At 41.9% G+C, this 23,346-nt stretch overlaps 1 protein-coding gene across 9 annotated transcripts in view; it reads right to left on the reverse strand.

The window, feature by feature from the left end:
- The window catches only part of PUS7 (pseudouridine synthase 7), a 65,771-nt gene that overhangs the window by 14,710 nt on the left and 27,715 nt on the right, over nucleotides 1–23,346 (reverse strand). For all 9 annotated transcript variants that reach the window (XM_047420533.1, XM_017012367.3, XM_047420532.1 and 6 more), the window contains 4 exons: nucleotides 20,330–20,407; nucleotides 11,102–11,230; nucleotides 9,842–9,967; nucleotides 922–983 (listed from right to left, as the gene is read on the reverse strand). In XM_047420533.1, coding sequence (XP_047276489.1) covers nucleotides 922–983; nucleotides 9,842–9,967; nucleotides 11,102–11,230; nucleotides 20,330–20,407 — 395 coding nt within the window. The remainder of the gene's footprint in view (nucleotides 1–921; nucleotides 984–9,841; nucleotides 9,968–11,101; nucleotides 11,231–20,329; nucleotides 20,408–23,346) is intronic.

Genomic DNA, 23,346 nt, shown 5'->3' on the forward strand with positions numbered 1-23,346 from the left:
AGTCTGCAAATGAATTACCCAAAGTGAGCACAATTATTTTGACAATCAGTAGTTTAATCCTTTTCATTCAAGATGATTTTAGAGATACTCTTTGGAAAGTTTTTGGTGACTTCTTCACACTGCAAATCCTCAAGGTGTTTTTGCCAAGTTTTTATATTCCATTACACTATGTTTTAACAAAATAACCACAAGTAAAATGTTTTAGATTCTTATACACTCAGATTTAGTAGTGAGTGAAGAAAAATATATATTCATTTTTAAAATATATTTATATTGAGTTATGAATTAATACACTGAACAAGCTAAAGAGCTAAAATAGAGGCTGGGCGTGGTGCTCACGCCTGTAATCCTAACATTCTGGGAGGCTGAGGTGGGCGGATCACCTGAGGTCAGGAGCTCGAGACCAGCCAGCAACATTCTGGCTGAGCATGGTGGCTCATGCCTGTAATCCCAGCACTTTGGGAGGCCAAGGCAGGCCAATCATTTGAGGCCAGGAGTTCGAGACCAGCCTGGCCAATGTGGTAAAACCCTGTCTCTACTAAAAATACAAAATGACCCAGGCATGGTGCTGCAAGCCTGTAATCCCAGCTACTCAGGAGGCTGAGGCAGGAGAATCACTTGAACCCAGGAGGCAGAGGTTGCAGTGAACTGAGATCATGCCATTGCACTCCAGCCTGGGAAACAAGACTAAAACTCCTTATCAAAAAAAAAAAAAAAAGCTAAAATAGGATATAAATTATAAATCTTAAATATACATATACAACTGTTGAAAAATATAAATAAACTTATACTTTTATTGTAAAAACAAATAAAATACTGAAACAACAACGTCAATTTGCACAAAAGCTTTTATTCAAAGCAATTTCATGAATACCTAGCCATACATTCTATTTATTTTCTTAACATGAATTTTATTCTCACCTCCAGAGCGGGGTTTCAATATTAAATCCATGACTTCTGTCCAGGAATTTTGTAGTATAGCTCTAAAATTAAACAACATTTATTTTACTAAATTTTGCATAAAGATAAAACTTTATATGCACAAATCTTTGAAGAGTCAACAAATCATATTAACTATACACCGAAGCCTTGACCTCCCAGGCTCTACTCCCAGGCTCTAGTCTAGTGATTCTCCCACCTCAGCTTTCCCACCATCCTGACAGTAGCTGGGACTACAGACGCACACCACCATACCTGGCTAAGTTTTTAATTTATTGTAGAGATGGGGTCTCACTATTGGTCTTAAACTTTTGGGCTCAAATGATCTTCCCACCTTGGCCTCCCAAAGTGTTGGGATTACAGGTATTAGCCATTACACCTGGTCCTACATCATCTCATTAAACTTAAAAGTAGGCAGAAAATCTAATATGATACAGATTTGAAATGTAAAAGAACTTCAAGTGCCAAAAGAACTTTCAAAAAAAGAATAAAATGGAAAACATAATGCTTACCCGTAACATTTACTATCATTTCAGTTTAAAAATGTGATAATAGTATAAATACTACATAGTCATGCTTTAAGTAGTAACACATGGTATTATTTATTTATTATTATTTTTTTGAAGTGGAGTTTCGCTCTGTTGCCCAGGCTGGAGTGCAATGATGCGATCTCGGCTCACTGCAACCTCTGCCTCCCGGTTTCACGCCATTCTCCTGTCTCAGCCTCCTGAGTAGCTGGGACTACAGGCACCTGCCACCTTGCCCAGCTACTTTTTTTTTTTTTTTTTTTTTTAGTAGAGATGGGGTTTCACCATATTGGTCAGGCTGGTCTCGAACTCCTGACCTTGTGACCCACCCGCCTTGGTCTCCCAAAGTGCTGGGATTACAGGCATAAGCCCCCGTGCCCGGCCCACATGGTATTATTTATATAAATCGCAGTTAAGTCTTTACGTGTGAAAACTTGTTTGAAACTTCTCAAAAGATTTATCTATGTTAATACCTTCTTGCCTAGGCAAATAGAATAAATACGATTTACTCTTATCATTCTTGTCAAAATGAAAATATCTACATATTTGATGATTATAAAGGTTATATGCTTTTTAAAAAAATTTTATTTGTTGAGACAGTCTCCCTCTGTTGTCTAGGCTGGAATGCAGTGGCATGATCTTGGCTCGCTGCAACCTCTGCCTCTTGGGCTTAAGCAATTCTCCTGCATCATCCTCCTGCACAGCTGGGACTACAGGCTGAGTCAGCATGCCTGCCTAATTTTTTTTTTTTTTTTTTTTTGAGATGGACTCTCATTCTGCTGCCCAGGCTGGAGTGCAATGGCACAATCTCAGCTCACTGCAACTTCTGCCTGCCGGGTCCAAGCGATTCTTGTGCCTCAGTCTCCCAAATAGCTGAGATTACAGGCTTGCGCCACCATGCCTGGCCAATTTTTGTATTTTTAGTAGAGATGGGGTTGTGCCATGTTGGCCAGACTGGTCTTGAATTCTTGGCCTCACGTGATCCGCCTGCCTCGGCCTCCCAAAGTGCTGGGATTACAGGCATGTACCACTGTGCCCGGCCAATTTTTGTATTTTTAGTAGAGACGAGGTTTCACCGTGTTGGCCAGGATGGTCTTGAACTCCTAGCCTCAAGTGATCAGCCCGCCTTGGCCTCCCAAAGTGCAGGGATTATAGGCATGAGCCACCATGCCTGGCCTATATATGCTTTCAAAAAACTGAACGGTACATAAGAAAGGTTATGTATTATTCAATCTCTAAGAAATTAAGCACTGTTAACACTTTAGAGCATATTTTTGTTGGCAAATCTATAAGTGTATGTAATTCTTCCTTTAACTTTTACTATAGTATTGCTGTACAGAAATTATATTTTGTGTATTACATCTGAAAGTTTTCCTTTAAGATTTCTCATCTTGGAGTCATGTTTAGAAAGACCCTTCCCTATCAAAAGAATATAGGAATCCCCTTCTATTAATTTTTCTGTTTTTCCAGTTAATTATGGTTCTTTATTTTCACATTTAAGTTACACAATACTGGGCATTTCTGGATATTAAATGATCTAAAATGCTATTTGGTATCTATCGATGACATCACCTGGATTTTCAATCCAATAATGTAATTACATCAACAGATTTCCTATTGCTGGCCACCACCACAGTCCTGGAACAAGCCATGTTAAATCAGTCCTTAAATATAGTCCTGGGGTGATAAATTATTTACTTGGATAATCTTTTAGCCAATACTGACAAAAAGAGTATAGTACTAGTTGGTACTAGGGACTGATCTGACAGATATAATACACATAGATTTTTACACTAAAAAACCTTTGTTAGGCCGGGCATGGTGGCTCACACCTGTAATCTCAGCACTTTGGGAGGCTGAGGCACGCGAATCACAAAGTCAGGAGATCAAGACCATCCTGGCTAACATGGTGAAACCCCATCTCTACTAAAAATACAAAAAAAAAAAAAAAAAAAATAATCGGGCGTGGTGGCACGTGCCTGTAGTCCCAGCTACTTGGGAGGCTGAGGCAGGAGAACTGCTTGAACCCAGGAGGCGGAGGTTGCAGTGAGCCGAGATGGTGCCACTGCACTCCAGCCTGGGCGACAGAGCAAGACTGTGTCTCAAAAATAAAACACAATAAAACAAAAAAACCTTTGTTAAATATCAATTACAGCCTGCAGGCACAATCTGATTGTCCACCTAATTCTGTAGTTTTATTGGAAAACAGCCATGCTCATTGCTTTGCATATTGTCCATGGCTGCTTTTGCAGTGTAACTCCAGAGCTCAGTACCTGCAACAAATATTGAATGGCCCACAAAGCCTAAAATATTAACTAACTGTTCCTTTACAGAAAACCTTTGCCAACACCTGATATAACATATTGAACAGTTTCTTAACTGCAGGACTTTTCAACACCTTTAAGATGCTACCATATACTGTAAAGGTTTAGTATACAATGCCATATTAAATATACAGAGATTTGGTTTACAATAGGCTGTACTATCTAGCACGCTGCACATTAAGATGTTTTGTACTTTTTTTTTTGAGATGGAGTCTCGCTCTGTCACCCAGGCTAGAGTGCAGTGGCACGATCTCGGCTCACTGCAAGCTCCGCCTCCCGGGTTCACGCCATTCTTCTGCCTCAGCCTCCCAAGTAGCTGGGACTACAGGCGCGCGCCACCACGCCTGGCTAATTTTTTATATTGTTAGTAGAGATGGGGTTTCACTGTGTTAGCCAGGATGGTCTCGATCTCCTGACCTTGTGATCTGCCCCCCTTGGCCTCCTGGAGTGCTGGGATTACAGGCGTCAGCCACCGTGCCAGGCCATTTTTTTTGTATTTTTTTAGTAGAGATGGGGTTTCACTGTGTTAGCTAGGATGGTCTCGATCTCCTGACCTCCTGATCTGCCTGCCTTGGCTTCCCAAAGTGCTGGCATTACAGGTGTGAGCCACCACGCCTGACCAGATGCTTTGTACTTTTCTTACTTTATCTTTCCTTCTTCTACCTTCTTTTATTTTATTGTGGTAAAATACATGTAATAACATTTACCTTTTTGGCTATTTTTAAGTATACAGTTCTGTGGCATTAAGTGCATTTACACTGTCAGGCAACCATCATCACTGTCTACCTCCACAACTTTTTAATCTTCCCCAGCTGAAACTCTATACCCATTAAATAATAAATCCCTATCCACCCAGCCCCCTAACCTCTGTAAGACACCATTCTACTTTCTGTCTATGGCTTTGACTACTCTAGGAACCTCATATAAGAGAAATCGTACCATATTTGTTCTTTTGTTACTGGCTTATGTCAGGTAACATAAAGTTTCCAATGCTTACCCACGTGATAGCACGTGTCAAAATTTCCCTCCTTTTAAATCACTTGAGCCCAGAAGGTGGAGGTTGCAATGGGCTGAGATGGCGCCACTGCACTCCAGCCTGGGCGACAGAGCAAGACTCCGTCTCAAAAAAAAAAAAAAAAAAAAAAAAAATTCCTCCTTTGAAAGGCTTACATATTCCATTGTATGTATGGGCCACATTTTGTTTGGATAAACACTTGGGTTGCCTGGGTATCTCCTACCTTTCGGCTATTGTGAATGCTGCTATTATGAACATGAGTGTACAAATATCTGGTGAGTTCCCACTGTCATTTCTTTTGGGTATATACTGAGAAGTGGAATTGCTGGTTCATAACATAATTTATATATATATATTTTTTGAGACAGAGTCTCGCTCTGTTGCCAGGCTGGAGTGTAGTGCTACCATCTCAGCTTACTGCAACCTCTGCTTCCCGGGTTCAAGCAATTCTCCTGCCTCAGCCTCCTGAGTAGCTGGGACTACAGGCATGTGCCACCACGCCCGGCTAATTTTTGTATTTTTAGTAGAGACGGGTTTTCACCATGTTGGTCAGGCTGGTCTCGATCTCTTGACCTCGTGATCTACCCACCTCAGCCTCCCAAAGTGCTGGGATTACAGGCGTGAGTCACTGCGCCTGGCCTATAATTAATTTCTTAAGAAATCACCATACTGTTCTCCACAATGGCTATACTGTTTTACATCCCCACCAGCAAAGCCCAGGTTTCTAATTTCTCTGTACCCTTATCAACACTTGTTATTTGTTGTTTTGTGATAATAGCCTTCCCAACGGATATGAAGTGGTACCTCGTGGTGGTTTCGATTTGTATCTCCCTAATGACTAGTGATGTTGAACACCAGTCTGTCTATCTTTGGAAACACATTTATTGAAATCCTTTCTCCATTTTTGAATTGGTTTTTCTTTGGTTGTTGTTGAGTTGTTCTTTATATATTCTAGATTTAAGTCTCTTATCAGATGTATGATTTGAAATATTTTCTCCTATTCTGTGGGTTATCTTTTCATTCTGTTGATAGCATCCTTTGATGCACGTTTTTAATTTTGATAAAGTCCAACTTATCTATTTTTTCTTTTGTTTGTTGCCTGTGCTTTTGGTCTCATATCCAAGAAACCACTGACATATCCAATATCATGAATTTTTCCCCATGTTTTCTTCTAAGAGTTTGCATAAGTGCAGCTCTTATGTTTAGATCTTTGGTCCATTTTGAGTTTATTTTATTTTATTATTTTTTTTTTGAGACAGTTTCACTCTGTCGCCCAGGCTGGAGTGCAGTGGTACAATCTTGGGTCACTTCAACCTCTGCCTCCCGGGCTAAAGCAATTCTCCTGCCTCAGCCTCCCGAGTAGCTGGGATTACAGGTGTTCATGCCACCACACTCAGATAATTTTTGTATTTTTAGTAGAGGCGGGATTTCACTATGTTGGCCAGGCTGGTCTTGAACTCCCGACCTCAAGCAATCCGCCACCCACCTCGGCCTCCCAAAGGGCTGGGATTACGGGCGTGAGCCACTGTGCCTGGCTCACTTTCTTTTTTTCAAAGTTTTTGCTGAGTTATTCAATAATTCACATAACATATAATTCACCCATGTAAGTGTACAATTCAATGGCTTTTAGTATTTTTAAAGAACTGTGGAGCATTACACAATTTTACAACATTTTTATTACCCACCCCCACCAAAAAAAAATCCTGTCCCATTAGTAGTCACTCCCCATTGGTCCTGTTCCAGCTCTTTTTCTATAGATTTGCTCACATTGGAAATTTCATAGAAATTGATTCATTCATTCATTCACAGGCAGGGTCTTGCTCTGTCATCTAGGCCACAGTGCAGTGGTGGTACACTGTTCACTGCATCCTCAAACTCCTGGGCTTCAGTGATCCTCCTGCCTCAGCCTCCTGAGTAGCTAGGACCAAAGCCAGGCAGCAGCACACTCAGCTAATTTTTTAAAAATTTTATTTTGTAGAGATGGGGCCTTGCTATGGTGCCCAGGCTGGTCTTGAACTCCTGGCCTCAAGTGATCCTGCCGCCTTGGCCTCTTAAATTGTTGGGATTACAGGCATGAGCCCCTGTGCCCTGCCTACTTAGCAATGTTTTCAAGGTTCATTCACGTTGCAGAATGTATCAGTACTTCATTCCTTTTTATTGCTAAGTAATATTCCACTGTATATTATTGTATATTACATTGTATATTTTGTTTATCCATTCATCAGTAGGTGGACATTTGGGTTGTTTCCAGTCTTTTGGCTGCTATGAACATCTGTATAAACTTTTGTGTGAACATATGATTTTCAGTTGTCCTCAGTATATACCTAGAAATGCCTGGGTCATAGGCTAACTTTATAACCTTTTGAGGAACTGTCAGACTATTTTCCAAAATCGTTATACCATTTTACATTTCCACCAGGAATGTATAAGGGTTCCAATTTCTCTAATCCTAACACTTGTTATTCTCTGCCTTTTTTATTTTAGCCATCCTAGTGGGTAAGAAGTGGCATCTCACTGTGGTTTTGATTTGCATTTCCTAAAGATTAGTGATAAGCATCTTTTTGTGTGCTTATTGGCCATTTGATTACATTATTTAAAGAAAGGTCTGTTCAGACCCTTTGCTAAGTTTTAGAATGCGTTGTCTTTCTGTTCTTGAGTTGTAAGAGCTTTTAATATTTTGGATACAAGTCATTTCTCCACCTATACAATATAAACTGAAAGTCTGTTTTTTCCCTCAGGAAATTCTATGGTGTTAACAGTGCGTTTCCTTGAAAGCAGGAAATATTCTTATGTTGTGAAAATGAATGATTTGGAATTTTGAGCTGACCGTACTGACCTTTGGTCACGCTATGTAATTTTTGTTGTGGGATAAATTTGACCTCATTTTAATTACTTATATTTATTTACACTATCTTTGGCATACACAACGTATAGGATTCCATGGCTGTCCTTCTGCCAAATTAATTACAAATTTACAGGTTGATACAGTGCTCCCTTATTCTGTCCCATAATACAATTAGCATTTTTACTATTTTATCAATGTCCTCTGACCATTAGCAAGGTTGAAAACATATTAGCAATCACTATATTCTAGGCATAAAAATAGATGTAGCATAAACATCATCTCACTTCATTTTCACCATTCTGTGAATTGGTATTATTATCTCCATTCTACAGATGAGTAATTTAAGCCTCAGAACTCAAGTCTGTTTTCACCTGAGCTTTTTAACCTCCTCAAAGAGGCAGAGGAAATATAGATTTTTATCATTTTGCGCTTTTAAAATCACAAAAATGAATGCAACTTCATAGTTTAGATGCTGAAACAATGGACTGGAAGCCCGGAAAACTCTACTCCCAAACTAAAGCCAAGCAATTGATGAGTTCAGGCAGACCTCTCAAAGCCTAAGTTTGCTAACATGAAGGGTCTGAAAGACAAGGAAGAACATGGACGCTTAGATAACTTCCAGCTTGTAACTACCACAATTCTAACTCCCACGCGAATAATTAGTTTATGTAACAGAGTCTCTGCTGGGCAACAGGATTCCAGAAGTAGATTTAGGAACCCAACTATTTATTGATGGGATTCCCACTGTAGGTTACCCTAGAGGGGTTCTTAATTGTTTAAAAGTAAATGACAATTCTTAAATTCCATGTCACTAATTTTATCATTTATTACATTCTTTAAAGAGTGAGGGAAGGGGCCCAGGCACAGTGGCTCATGCCTGTAATCCCAGCACTTAGGGAGGCCAAGACGGGCAGATCACTGGAGGTCATGAGTTCGAGACCAGCCTGGCCAACATGACAAAACCTCGGCTCTACTAAAAATACAAAAATTAGCTGGGTGAGGTGGTGCATGCCTGCAATCCCAGTTACGTGGGAGGCTGAGGCAGGAGAATCACTTGAACCTGGGAGGTGGAGGTTGCAGTGAGCGGAGATGGCACCACTGCACTCCAGCCTGGGCAACAGCAAGACTTCATCTCAAAAAATAAAAATAAAAAATAAAATAAAATTAAGAGCGAGGGAAGGGCAGATCAAAGTTTAATAAACGTGTTAACACAGATCAGAAAATGTGACATCTCTGTCTGGCTACTCTGGGTCTGAGTTACCCAACAGATTACTGTTGAATCACTTACTGAGCCAAGACTTACCTGTTACAAAATAAAAATAAAAATAGGGCTGGGCGTAGTGGCTCACACTTGTAATCCCAACACTTTGGGAGGCTGAGGTAGGCGGATCATTTGAGGTCAGGAGTTCAAGACCAGCCTGGCCAACATGGTGAAATTCCCGCCACTACTAAAAATACAACAAAGTTAGCTGGATGTGGTGGCAAAAGCCTGCAATCTCAGCTACTTGGGATGCCGAGGCAGGAGAATTGCTTGAACCTGGGAGGTGGAGATTGCAGTGAGCCAACATTGCACCACTGTACTTCAGCCTGAACAACAAAGATTCCATCTCAAAAAAATAAAAAATAAAAAAAATAGCTGGGTGTGGAGGCTCATGCCTGTAATCCCAGCAGTTTGGGAGGCTGAGGTCGGGGGATCACCTGAGGTTGGGAGTTCGAGACCAGCCTGACCAACATGGAGAAACCCCATCTCTACTAAAAATGCAAAATTAGCCAGTCATGGTGGCGCATGCCTGTAAACCCAGCTACTCAGGAGGCTGAGGCAGGAGAATCACTTGAACCTGGGAGGCAGAGGATGCGGTGAGCCGAGATTGCGCTATTGCACTCCAGCCTGGGCAACAAGGGCGAAACTCTGTCTCAGAAAAAATAAATATATAAAATAAAATAAAAAAATAAAAATAGAACCCCTGGATGGGTAACCAAGAGTGGTAGGAAAGCTCACTTTTCAGGTCATATCCTTTTGAACTCCGATTTTTTACCCTGTGCACTCATTAACTTAAAACAAAAATCATGAAACTGTGGTTCATTTGCCCCAGACATGGGAGAACGTAGAAATAATTAAAAACACCACCACCAACAAACCCTGCTTTGTTTATGAGAAAGCTATTTTTGATAAAAGAAATTAAATACCAACCTTCCAACCTGATACGTAGGGACAGCTGTGGTTCCAAATCTTTGCATTCCATAGTAGTTAATAAATCCAATCTCCTTGAGAGAGTTCATAGCTTGCTGTACTTGGTCATCAGTTCCTGTTATATTTCTACAGGGACACAAATTATCCAGAGGAAAAAAAGTTACAGTCAAATACTCAGGGATGCAGCTCATAAATGACTACGGCCTGGCTTCCAAGTCTTTCGTTCACTCTCCTGCAGCTTTCTCTCTACCTCCCAAGGGCTCTTTCTTTCTTTAAGTTGTGGTAAGATATTTATAATGTCAAATTTACTATTTTAGCCATTTTTAAGTGTGCAATTTGGCGGTATTAACCCATTTATGGCAGAGGTTGCAATTTTTTGAATTTTTGCAATCAGACCTTGGCGATGACCTTGAGCAGTAGGATATAAATAATTCCTACATGCTTAGTGTTCCAATAATGGAACACTAGCATAAATGGGTTAATTATATGCACAATGTTGGACAATCCTCACCACTATCTACTTCCCAAATTTTTTCCCGTTTCCAAAATGAAACTCTGTACCCCTAAACAGTAACTTTCCATTACCCCTACCCTACCCTTTCCCCAGTAACCACTATTTTACTTTCTATGTCCATGGATTTGCCTATTCTAGGCGCTTTAAGTGGAATCACAGGCTCAGTGTCTTTTTTTTTTTTTTGAGTTGGAGTCTCACTCTGTCCCCTAGGCTGGAGTGCAGTGGAGCGATCTCGGCTCACTGCAAGTTCTGCCTCCTCGGTTCACGCCATTCTCCTGCCTCAGCCTCCTGAGTAGCTGGGACTACAGGTGTCTGCCACCACGCCCGGCTAATTTTTTGTATTTTTAGTAGAGACAGGGTTTCACCGTATTAGCCAGGATGGTCTCGATCTCCTGACCTTGTGATCCACCTGCCAAGGCCTCCCAAAGTGCTGGGATTACAGGCGTGAGCCACTGCGCCCAGCCGGCTCGGTGTCTTTTACTACAATATTTGAAGGAGATGGTGTCTTTCCAAAGGCTGCACTAGGTTTTCAAGGGGCAAGGTGTCCACACAAATCCTACAGAGGTATTTGCTCTCACAGAGGTATCTGCTCTCCCAGCCCTGCCAGGCCCTGCTCTGCCCTCCCTTGCTGCCACTCCTGTTCTGTTAGTACCAGCTCACCAGGACCTTATGACCAACCGTGAGTAACATACTCAAGATGCCCTGGCCAGACCCTCTGGTCTACATTCCCACCTGCAGTTCTTTACCTGAGAACAACAGTGAAGTGGTTTCCTTGAAGCTCTCCCAATTTCAGTGGGTTTTTTTGATAGCTGAAATTCCCTAGCTTAAAGTTCATCAAGCACTTATTCAGGTGGGCAAGTCTTTGTGCAGTTATTCTTTAAAAAAAAAAAAAAAAGCAACAAAACAAAAAAGAGTAGAAAGAGGATCATGAGATACTGATTGTCTGCTTGGAACAGTACAGAAAACAAGATACAGCACACCTATGACCCCCTGAAAGGAAAAGGCACTGCAGCAGGTGAGGTGGGCGTGTCCTTCTCTTCTCTCTGCATTCTTCCTTCAGTGTAATGGTACGTGCTCCTGTTCAAATTGCATACTCCTGGCCATATTTTATATACTTAAAGCCTCTTGTTATTTACATGCTGATGAGTAACAGAACAATAATATCTGTGGAATTTTCTACTTTTTGTGGGGAGAGGGGTGAGAAAAGGGATGGGGACAGAGACAAATCCCATAGAAAGAATGGTATCAAGCATTTAAAAAAAGGTCATTATTTTTGTCAATCAGAAAAATTTTGTAAACTCATTACAGAAAACTTGGAAAATATAAAAAAGAGAAAAGGAAAAGAAATTCATATTTTCATTGCCTGAAAAAAATTTCCACTGACATCTAACTTTTTATTTCCTCCCTTTCTTTTTTTAAAAGACATGTTATATATAGCTGGAATTCTACCCAAATCTGTATCATGCTGCTATCAATATATAGAAATTTTCATTAGAAATTCCTTGCCTTCTTCAATAGGAAATGTATATAGAGAAACAGAGTACTGAAAAGCCTTTCTCCCCTTTTTATCTCTAGTGTCACCACTAACACCCAATGTTGTTTCTTTCTTTCCTTTTTTTTTTTTGAGACAGTCTCTCTCTGTTGCCCAGACTGGAGTGCAGTGGCATGATCTCAGCTCACTCTGCCTCCCTGGCTCAAGTGAATCTCCTGCCTCAGCCTCCCAAGTAGCTGGGCTTACAGGCGCACACCACCATGCCCGGCTAATTTTTTTTTAGTTTTAGTACAGATGGGGTTTCACCATGTTGGCCAGGCTGGTCTTGAACTCCTGACCTCAGGTGATCCGCCCGCCTCGGCCTCCCAAAGTGCTGAGATTACAGGTATGAGCCACCGTGCCCAGCTAATTTTTATATTTTTAGTAGAGACGGGTTTCACCATGTTGGCCAGGCTGGTCTTGAACTCCTGACCTCAGGTGATCCACCCACATTGGCCTCGCACAGTGCTGCGATTACAGGCGTGAGATAAGTTCAAGAGATTCTTCTGCCTGAGCCTCCCGAGTAGCTGAGAATACAGGTACATGCCACCACACCTGGCTATGTTTTTTTGTATTTTCAGTAGAGACAGAGTTTCACTATGTTGGCCAGGCTGGTCTCGATCTCCTGGCCTCAAGTGATCCACCCACCTCAGCTTCCCAAAGTGTTGGGATTACAGCCATGAGCCAGTGCACCTGGCCATCTTTTTGTTTTTTAGGCTGCCAGGATCCAATTGAGGATCACACATTGCAGCTGTGATGTCTGTTTGGTTTCCACTAAGTGATCTGTCTAGCCTTGTTTTTCATGATATCTGGCCCTTAGAAGAATCCAGGCCAGCGCTTTTACACGTCTTTCAATGTGGATTTATCTGATTGTTTCCTCATGCTGAGACTCAGGTAAACACTTTGGTAGAAATATTACTGAGGTGATATGGCCCTTTTCAATGCATCACATCAAAAGGCAGTGATTTTGTCCAACAATGATAATAACTTTAATCATTTAATTAGGATAGTATTTACTAGATTTTTACACTCTAAGAGTCTCTTTGTCTTTGCTTTTAATTAGTCATCAGTGGGGAAATACTTTTGAAATTGTGTAAAAATCCTGTTCCCCCAAAGTCTTTACCCAATTATTTAGGTACCCAAGCATGATTGTTGGCTGAATTGATTATTACTGTGTTGACTGAAACTGTGTTTCTATATTTGTTGGCATTCTTCTGTAAATAAAAACTATGTAGGGGCCAGGCACAGTGGTTTACGCCTGTAATCCCAGTACTTTAGGAGGCCTAGATGGGCAGATAGCTTGAGCCCAGGAGTTCAAGACCAGCCTGGCCAACACAGCAAGATCCCATCTCTAAAATTAAAACAAACAACTATATGGAGAAACTTTAGTTAAATTCATGAATCTTTTTTTCTTAAAAAAAAAAAAAAAAATAGCTCTGGGACCGGGCGCGGTGCTTCATGCCTGTAATCCCAGCACTTTGGGAGGCCGAGGCGGGCGGATTACCTGAGGTCAGGAATTCGAGACCAGCCTGGCCAATATGGTGAAACCCCGTCTCTACTAAAAATACAAAAATTAGCCGGGTGTGGTGGCACACGCCTGTAATCCCAGCTACTTGGGGGCTGAGGCAGGAGAATTGCTTGAGCCCGGGAGGCAGAGGTTGCAGTGAGCTGAGATCGTGCCACTGCACTCCAGCTTGGCTGTCAAAAAAAAAAAAAGCTCTGAGATTTAACTCATACTTAGGATGTCACCAGTCAGAGATTTTTTTTTTTTTTTTTTTTTTTAAGACGGAGTCTTGCTCTGTGTCGCCCAGGCTGGAGTGCAGTGGCATGATCTCAGCTCACTGCCACCTCTGGCTCCTGAAATCAAGGAATTATCCTGCCCTGGCTTCCTGAGTAGCTGGGGCTACAGGCACACACCACCATGCCTGGCCAATTTTTATATTTTTAGCAGAGATGGGGTTTCACCAGGTTGGCCAGGCTGGTCTCAAACTCAAGTGATCTTCCCGCCTCAGCCCCACAAAGTGCTGGGATTACAGGGGTCAGCCACCACACCTGGTCAGAGATTCTTTTTTTTTTAATCTCAAATGTAAGTAGAGTACTGTTTTTTGTTGTTGTTGTCGTCGTTGTTTTTTGAGATGGAGTTTTGCTCTTTGCCCAGGCTGGAGCGCAATGGCGCGATCTTGGCTCACTGCAACCTCCGCTTCCCGGGTTCAACCGATTCTCCTGCCTCGGCCTCCCGAGTAGCTGGGATTACAGGCATGCGGCACCATGCCCGGCTAATTTTGTATTTTTAGTAGAGACAGGGTTTCTCCATGTTGGTCATGGCTGGTCTTGAACTCCTGACCTCAGGTGATCTGCCCGCCCTAGCCTCCCAAAGTGCTGGGATTACAGGCATGAGCCACCTTGCTCGGCCTAAGTAGAGTCCTTTTAAAGTTGCATTTTAATGTTCAAATTTATGATCCACCTGGAATTTATTTAGCAAAGGGAAATGAGGTAGGGGAGCCACACTTAAATGGTTTTTTAGATGGTTACTCAGTTATCCAACATTTTTTGAATCAACCATTATTTTTTGAATCAACCATTATTTTCTCCACTTATCTTAAATGATACTTTGAATACGTACTAAATCCTTGGATGTATCTGGGTCTAGGATTACTCTATTCTACCTAGTCATGTTCCAGTATGAAATTGCTTTAAGTGCTATATCTCTTTTTTGTTTTTGAGACAGAGTCTCTGTCGCCCAGGTTGGAGTGCAGTGGTGCGATCTAAGCTTACTGCAACCTCTGCTTCGTGGGCTTACAAAGTCTCCAGCCTTAGCCTCCTGAGAAGCTGGGACTACCGGCATGCACCACCATGCCTGCCCACCCTGGCCTCCGAAAGTGCTGGGATTACCGGCGTGAGCCACTGCACCTATCCAGGTGCTATATTTATTTTTCTTTCTTTTTTTTTTTTGTTTTGTTTTGTTTTTGAGACAGAGTGTTGCTCTGTCACTCAGGCTGGAGTGGAGTGCACTAGTGTGATCTAGGCTTACTGCAACCTCTGCCTCTTGGGTTCAAGCAATTCTTCTGCCCCCAGCCTCTCAAGTAGCTGGGATTACAGACGCCTGCCACCAAGCCCAGCTAATTTTTGTAATTTTAGCAGAGACGGGGTTTCACCATGTTGGCAAGGCTGGTCTGGAACTCCTGACCTCAAGTAATCTGCCCGCCTTAGCCTCCCAAAGTGCTGGGATTACAGGCGTGAGCCACCGCACCCAGCTGTACATATTGATTTTTGTATATTTTCTTATCTTATATAACTTTTTCTTCCTTTTTTAGAGACAAGGAATTGCTCTGCCACCCAGGTTGGAGTGCAGTGGTGCAATCATAGCTCACTGTAACCTTGAATTCCTGGACTATGTATGGGAGCAATGGTAGAACCCAAGAGCACGAATTAACCCAGGGATTGTATCCCAAGGAATCTAGAAGCGGAGGATCAGTATGAACAGAGTGAGGAACGGGGGACAAAACTCCTCTTCAGCCAGGAACTACTGCTGTAGAAACTGACAGAACAATTCAGGGTCAGGAGCTGTCCTAGAGAGAGTGTTCCGGAGACTGCTTCCTGATGGTGCCACAGAAGTGCCTGATAGTTCTGTCCTTTTTTTTTTTAAGTTGAGATAAAGTTAACATAATATAAAATTCACAAGGCTGGGCATGGTGGCTCACGCCTGTAATCCCAGCACTTTGGGAGGCCAAAGTGGCTGAATTGCTTGAGATGAGGAGTTCGAGACCAGCCTGGCCATCCTGGTGAAACCCCGTGTCTACTAAAAATACAAAAATTGGCAGGGCATGGTGGTGCACACCTGTAATCCCAGCTACTCGGGAGGCTAAGGCAGGAGGATTACTTGAACCTCAGAGGCTGAGGTTGCAGTGAGCCGAGATTGTGCCACTTGTACTCCAGCCTGGATAACAGAACGAGACCCTGTATCAAAAAATAAAATAAAATAAATAAATATATATATACACATGTATAATTCACCATTTTAACTGTTATAAAGTGTACATGCCAGTGATTTTTAGTATATTCACAACAATGTGAAACCATCACCACTATATACTTCAAGAACGTTTCCATCACCTGAAAAAGAAACCCTGTACCTATTCAGCAGTCACTCCCGTTTCCTCTCCCTGCAGACCTCGGCAACCATTAATCTACTTTCTGCCTCTATAGATTTTCCTATTTCAGACACATCATATAAACAGAATCATACAATATCTGGCCTTGTGCGCCTGACTTCTTAGTGGAATGTTTTTAAGGTTTATCCATGTTTTAAGTATATATCAGTATTTTGTTTCATTCTTTTTTGTGGCCGAATAGTAGTATCAATTCTTGAATATACGATAGACATCCATCTCTAAATTCCACTGGCACAGCAAAAAGCAAGAACTATACTCAGTTCTGGTTGGTATGGGTGCTCCCTGAGAAATGGAATGAAGCTGACAATGTCTTCATGATACTATTCACAGTTTTAATTATGATGATCCCAGATCAAGGTCTTTGGTTGTAAATTTACAGCAAATTCAGTGAGTAACTAGGGAATATAAAAATCTTGCTTTTAAACATCAGGAACCAATTAAGCAACATGATGCACAGAAAACCTTAATTAACAAAGCCAGGGAAATACTGGCCCAAGTTCAGAAAGGAGACTGGCAGGAACAGGCAGGAAAAGAAACAAATCATTCTGAATGAGACTGTTCCTGCCTGAGACCCTGTTAAAATTACTAGGTGGCTTTAGAGTTTCATGAAGCTGAAAAGACGTGCTGCTTATCCCCAGGACCGATCAATCCAGCAGTCATTCAAATGCCTGTGTGGCAGAGTGGGTTTCTCCTGTTCACAAGTTCCCACGGGAAAGGCCAATCTGCCTGGCCCCATGTATCCATTAAACAAACTAAGGGTGTAGCCTGTATCCGTGAGATAAGTGCTGTGTGCTTTCAGAGGGCCAACATTTAGGTGTCTAACACAGTTTCTTACTAAGTCAACAGGAAGATGATAAAGGCAGCAAAAATCTGAGGACAGAGCAGTGTCCTGATGAAGTGTGACATCTGCTGGCTGACCAAGAAAAAAAAGAAATATTCTTGGTCTTCAACTATTCTAAGACTTCACATCAGAAAACGCAAAATAAAATAACAAGATGCCATTTTTTGACCCTCAAATTAGCAAATGACTCCCTGTCCCCATCATAACACCATGCTGAGGAAGATTCTAGGGAACCAGAATAAAGGTGGTAAATTGGTACCACTTTTTTGCAGGATAATTAGGCTTTGCTATTAAAAAAAAAGAGAGAGAGAATTTCTCTGTGTTTTGACCAGCAGATGGAAAGAAAAAAGACAAACCACATTAAAATGTCATATTCCCTTTAAGTCAGTAATTTCACTGCTAAGTTTATCTTAATGAAGTTATCACAGATGTGTGCCAAGATTTAGCTACAAATACGTCTGTCATGGACTGGGTTATAACAGCAAGAAACGAGAAACAATGTAACATTCAAAAATAGAGTAATAGTTTAAATTAGGATATATCCATACATTCAAACATATTTTGCTATATACCTACAGGAAATAAGGTACACCATCTATTGTTCAAAATAAGAATACATAAGTATTGCTGTTTAAAAAGGAAAAAAAGTCCCTCAAAAAATATATACCATGTTGTGAATAAGGTGATCTCGGAAGAAGTACAGTTATGGCAGGCCTTTCATTTTCTACCTAGTTCTTTCTGTGTTGAAAACAAAATAGGCAGAGCCCAGTGGCTCACGCCTGTAATCCCAGCACTTTGGGAGGCCAAGACGGGTGGATCACGAGGTCAGGAGATCGAGACCATCCTGGCTAACATGGTGAAACCCCATCTCTACTAAAAATACAAGAAATTAGCTGGGCATGGTGGCGGGCGCCTGTAGTCCCAGCTACTCAGGACGCTGAGGCAGGAGAATGGCGTGAACCCAGGAGGCGGAGCTTGCAGTGAGGTGAGATCCCACTACTGCACTCCAGCGTGGGCAACAGAGCGAAACTCCATCTCAAAAAAAAAAAAAAAAAAAAAGAAAGAAAGAAAAGAAAAAGAAACAAAATAAACTGACTTTTTTTTTTTAATCAGAAACAAAATTCACAGAGCCAGCTAGAAATCACAGGAGGTGACTAGGTATTTTAGATACCAAAAACAAGGCAAAAACCTTCTGTTGTGACCTCTATCCACAGAGGATGAGAAAGCCTGAGCCTTCAAACCCCTGTCCCCCTACCCCCATTCTTCTGAGTTTCTGGGGAGTCCCTGGTCCATTACCCACAAAGGTTATTTCAAATCTCCACTCTCTTTCAAGCTCCCTTACCCACTCCTGCCCCTTCACTCTGAGCAAATGACTCCACATTCTATATGCCACAGCGAGAAAATGAAACCAGGCCACCAGATAGGAACACCATCATCTTCATGTATTTACTCCTGCTCTCTTTCAAATGCTTCAATATTTGTACACACCACCAGTAAAAGCAATGGTGAGATGACTGCTTTTATGACATCATGCCACTGTCTCAAGGTCAAGGAAGAAAAAGAACTGGAATAAACATTACGATACAACCGGTTCAACAACTACATTATTTCAGGGGAATCAGAAAAGTAGTGGGAAAGAAGCCCAATTGTAGGGGATTATGGGGTAAAGAGGAGATACCACCATAAATTCTTTATAAAAAGATGAGGAAATTCAAAATAAATATATGGGCTGGGCGTGGTGGCTGATGCCTGTAATCCCAACACTGTGGGATGCTGAGGTGGGTGGATCACCTGAGGTCAGGAGTTCAAGACCAGCCTGGCCAACATGGCGAAACTCCATCTCTACTTAAAATATAAAAATTAGCCAGGTGCACTGGTGTATGCCTGTAATCCCAGCTACTTGGGAGGCTGAGGCAGGAGAATCACTTGAACCAGGGAGGTGGAAGTTGCAGTAAGCCAAGATCCCACCATTGCACTCTAGCCTGGGTGACACAGCAAGACTAAAAAAAAAAAAAAAAAATCCGAGAAACCAAAATAAATACATGTATTTAAGTAGAGGTAGCAAACATAGCGTACTTTATTTTTAATTGCAGTATGACTGACATACACTGTACACATTTAAAATGTACAAGTTTTGACATGTGTATAAGCCCATGAAACCATTACCATATTAAAGACAATGCATCCATCACCCCCAGAAGTTTCCTTGCCCCTATGTTATTTCTCTCTCCCACCATTCCTTGCCTCTGGAGGTATACTAATAAGACAGCCTAAATGTGTCTGACACAGTACAGCTATTAAATTCATCCTTTCTCTTTTACCTTCACTGTGACTAACTGGGTTCAGACCCTTATTCTCCCTCCCCAGAATACGTCAATAGCCCTGGTCTCTAGTTTTGCATGTCTTGCTCCACCGGCGATCCATAATCCAGCCTCTATACACCAATCCCCATTTAGATTAAGGTTGAGGCAAAGACCCTCAACCTGACCTAACAGGCCCTTCAGGATCTACATCCTGCCTAACTCCTAGATCCTTATTTCTCGCTATGCTCCTCAAAAACTAAAGTACATGCCAGGTACCAAATATGCTTTCCAACGTCTTTTCTTAACCTGCTTTTTTGGTTTGGAAAAAACAATCCTAAATCCTACCCAGCCCCAGGAAATCTCTACTCATCCTTCTAGAATCTAGACCAGTGGTTCCCAATCGGGGGCAATTCTGGCCTCAGGGAATATCTGACAATGCCTAGAGACATTCTTTGCTATCATAACTGGGCAAGGAGTTGCTACTGCTACATAGTGGGTAGAGACTAGGGATGCTGCAAAACATCCTGCAACGCACAGGACAGTCCCTACAACAAAGAATTATCCAGCCCCGAAGGGCAACAGTGGAGAGGTTGAGAAGCCTTGAACTAAATTAAAACTCAGCATCCCATTTTCTATGAAAGCTTTCCTGTGTTCCCTCCACATCAACTCCCATGCTTGTTGACAGGCATACATTAACATCCAAAGTATATCTCTATTTCAGTATTTATCTCACTGCAGGAGAAGTTCTGATTTACATGTCCGTCTATTCCACTAATTATAATTGCTTCAAAAACACAGACTATTGCTTTTATCTGTAGCTCTCGGGTGTACAACAAAACAGCATGTTCACTATGTTGTAATTTTAAATAACATATTTAACAATGAATGAACAAAAGAGAGAAAGAAGCATTATTCTCTTGGCTTTACCAAAAAAATCTTTAAAAATTACACAAATAATACACGTTTCATAGATAAGAAGAAGAAAAAAACAGAATGAAAAGTAATTTTTAAATAGGCAGAAGCACCATCTAAAGCTGAGAGAGAAACCCCCAAAGTAAATTTGAGAATTCTGAAAAGCAGTGCCAGGATATTTACAGTATAAATCCTGTTACGTGCTCTCTACTTACTTGAGAACAGCAATTTCTTGAACTGTTATAGCCCTTTTATCTTTGGTTCCCATGTAGGAGAATATATTTGGCTTGACTCTGGTAAGAGAGAAACAAGATCATCTGAAGTCACATACTGTAATATTATAAGGAAATCCTAATTCTCATAATTTAAGTTTTAATATAAACATACTTACAATCATAACACAGTAAGAGAAGAATGAGGAGAAACTTTATTTTAACATGAATCCAGGGAGGCTGGGCGCAGTGGCTCATGGTCTGTAATCCCAGCACTTGGGAGGCCAAGACAGGTGGATCACCTGAGGTCAGGAGTTCAAGACCAGCCTAACCAATATGGTGAAACCCCATCTGTACTAAAAATACAAAAATTAGCTGGGCGTGGTAGTGTGTGACTGTAGTCCCAGCTACTTGGAAGGCTGAGACAGGGGAATTGCTTGAACTCAGGAGGCTGAGGTTGCAGTGAGCTGAGACCACTCTGCTGCACTCCAGCCTGGGCCACAGAGACTCCGTCTCAAAAAAAAAAAAAAAAAAATCTACTAAAACAACATAAATTCATATGCAAGCTAGAAAAGTAAATGATAGCCAGGTGTGGTGGCATGCACCTACAGTCCCAGTTACTGGGGAGGCCTGAGGCAGGAGGACTGTCTGCGCTCAGGAGTTGGAGGCTACAGTGCGCTATGATGGTGCCTGTGAACAGCCACTGCACACTACACTCCTGCCTGGGTGACGTAGTAAGACCTGCTCTCTTTAAAAAAAAACAAAAAAGGTAAATGATGGCCAAATAATTCTTCGCTTTTTTTTTTGAGACGGAGTCTCTCTCTGTCACCCAGGCTGGAGTGCAGCGGCACAATCTTGGCTCACTGCAACCTCTGCCTCCTGGGTTCAAGCAATTCTCCTGCTTCAGCCTCCCAAGTAGCTGGGATTACAGGCATGCACCACCACATCTGGCTGATTTTTTGTATTTTTTTTTTTTTTTTTTTTTTTGAGACAGAGTCTCGCTCTGTCGCCCAGGCTGGAGTGCAGTGGCGGGATCTCGGCTCACTGCAAGCTCCGCCTCCCGGGTTCACGCCATTCTCCTGCCTCAGCCTCCCAAGTAGCTGGGACTACAGGCGCCCGCCACTACGCCCGGCTAATTTTTTGTATTTTTAGTAGAGACGGGGTTTCACCGTTTTTTAGCCGGGATGGTCTCGATCTCCTGACCTCGTGATCCGCCCGCCTCGGCCTCCCAAAGTGCTGGGATTACAGGCGTGAGCCACCGCGCCCGGCCGATTTTTTGTATTTTTAATAGAGATGGGGTTTCGCCATGTTGGCCAGGCTGGTCTTGAATGCTCGACCTCAGGTGATCCACCCGCCTCGGCCTCCCAAAGTGCTAGGATTACAGGGGTGAGCCACTGCGCCCAGTCAATAATTCCTTTCTTAGCAGTGTAAACATTTGTGGCTATTAGTAAATAACTGATGTTGTTCAAAGACTTGGCTAGCCAGCAACAAAAAAGGCAACAATGCACTTCCTATCCATCATCTACAATTCATTACATTACATAAGACAGTGAAAGCAAAGAAAAATGCATTCTAGAGATATAATGTACCACTATGAAAATTTATCTTCAGTTTTTAAAAAGTTATTGTGTGAATTTTCCATGCTGCTATTGCTTTGTATTAAAAAATGAAAAAAGCCAAATGAAATGCTAAAACTGGGATCTGAATAGTTTTGATATGAAGATAATAAGTAACCTAGTTAACTAAGAAGTATTTTATAAACTTAACCGTTCCATATGAGAAGGAAAAAGCCAGGAAGGATTTCTTAAATCCTGAGCAATCCTCAACTCCCGATCTTGGAGGAACTCCCTCCCCACCCACCTATTCCTGTCAAGAATCGTCTGTTCTCTCTGGCTCAGGTACAGGCATAGTAGCACAGACTCTCTCCCAGGGAGTTAATAAATAGAGCAAAATAAATGTTACTTAATTGGGTACTGTGTATTATGGGCTGAACTGTGTCTCCCCCAAAATTAGTATGTTGAAGCTCTGACCCCCCAGGACCTCAGAATGTGACTGTATTTGGAGATAGGGCCTTCAAAGAGGTGATTCAGTTAAAATGAGGCCATTTAGGGTGGGCACTAATCCAATCTGACTGGTATCCTCCTAAGAAGAGGAAATGGGGACACACACAGATACCAGGGGTGTGCGTGCACAGGGAAAATGCCACATGAAGACACAGTGAGAAGGCAGCCATCTGCGAGCCAAGGAGAGAGGCTTCCGGAAAAAAAACAAACTTGCCGACACCTTGAGCTTGGGACTGTTAGCCTCTAGAAGCATATGAAAAGTAATTTCTGTTAAGCCACCTGATCTGTGGTATTTTGTTATGGAAGTCCTAGCAAATTAATACACTGTTTCCATATTTAAAATGAGTTAAATATATATTGGAAACCAAATTTCCACAGCATACAGACTTGCTGTGGTGTGTAGCCACTTCCATTTTTAAGAAAAGCTTTGGCACCTTGCCGATCCCCAGAGATCCAGTCTCTGCTATATTTACATTCCTGTTAGAAAATCAGACCGGTCTCAGGTTTAGTCAGTCTCCAGGAATTGAGAGCTCCCAGTCTGGCAAAACCAACCTCTGCAACCACGTCAAAGGATAAGTATAGGCTTTCAAAAGAGAAAGTTAATTTTTATTTTCAACCAGATTGTTAACTCTCAGCTGCATGCGAATCATTTACTTATGGAATTTTCATCTTGAATTATTGGCACTACGTATGTGGGGGTCAAAAAAATTAATTCATCCATTGCCTAAGAAAACTATCCTCACGGCCTGGCACAGTGGCTCACGCCTGGAAGAAACAATGCACTTCCTATCCATGATCAGTGATTTTTTTTTTTTTTTTTTTTTTTTTTGAGATGGAGTCTTGCTCTGTTGCCAGGCTGGAGTGCAGTGGCACAATCTCGGCTTACCGCAACCTCTGCTTCCCAGGTTCAAGCAATTCTCCTGCCTCAGCCTCCTGAGCAGCTAACACTACAGGCAC

The sequence above is a fragment of the Homo sapiens genome, chromosome 7, assembly GCF_000001405.40.
Source record: "Homo sapiens chromosome 7, GRCh38.p14 Primary Assembly".
Taxonomy (NCBI): Eukaryota; Metazoa; Chordata; class Mammalia; order Primates; family Hominidae; genus Homo; species Homo sapiens.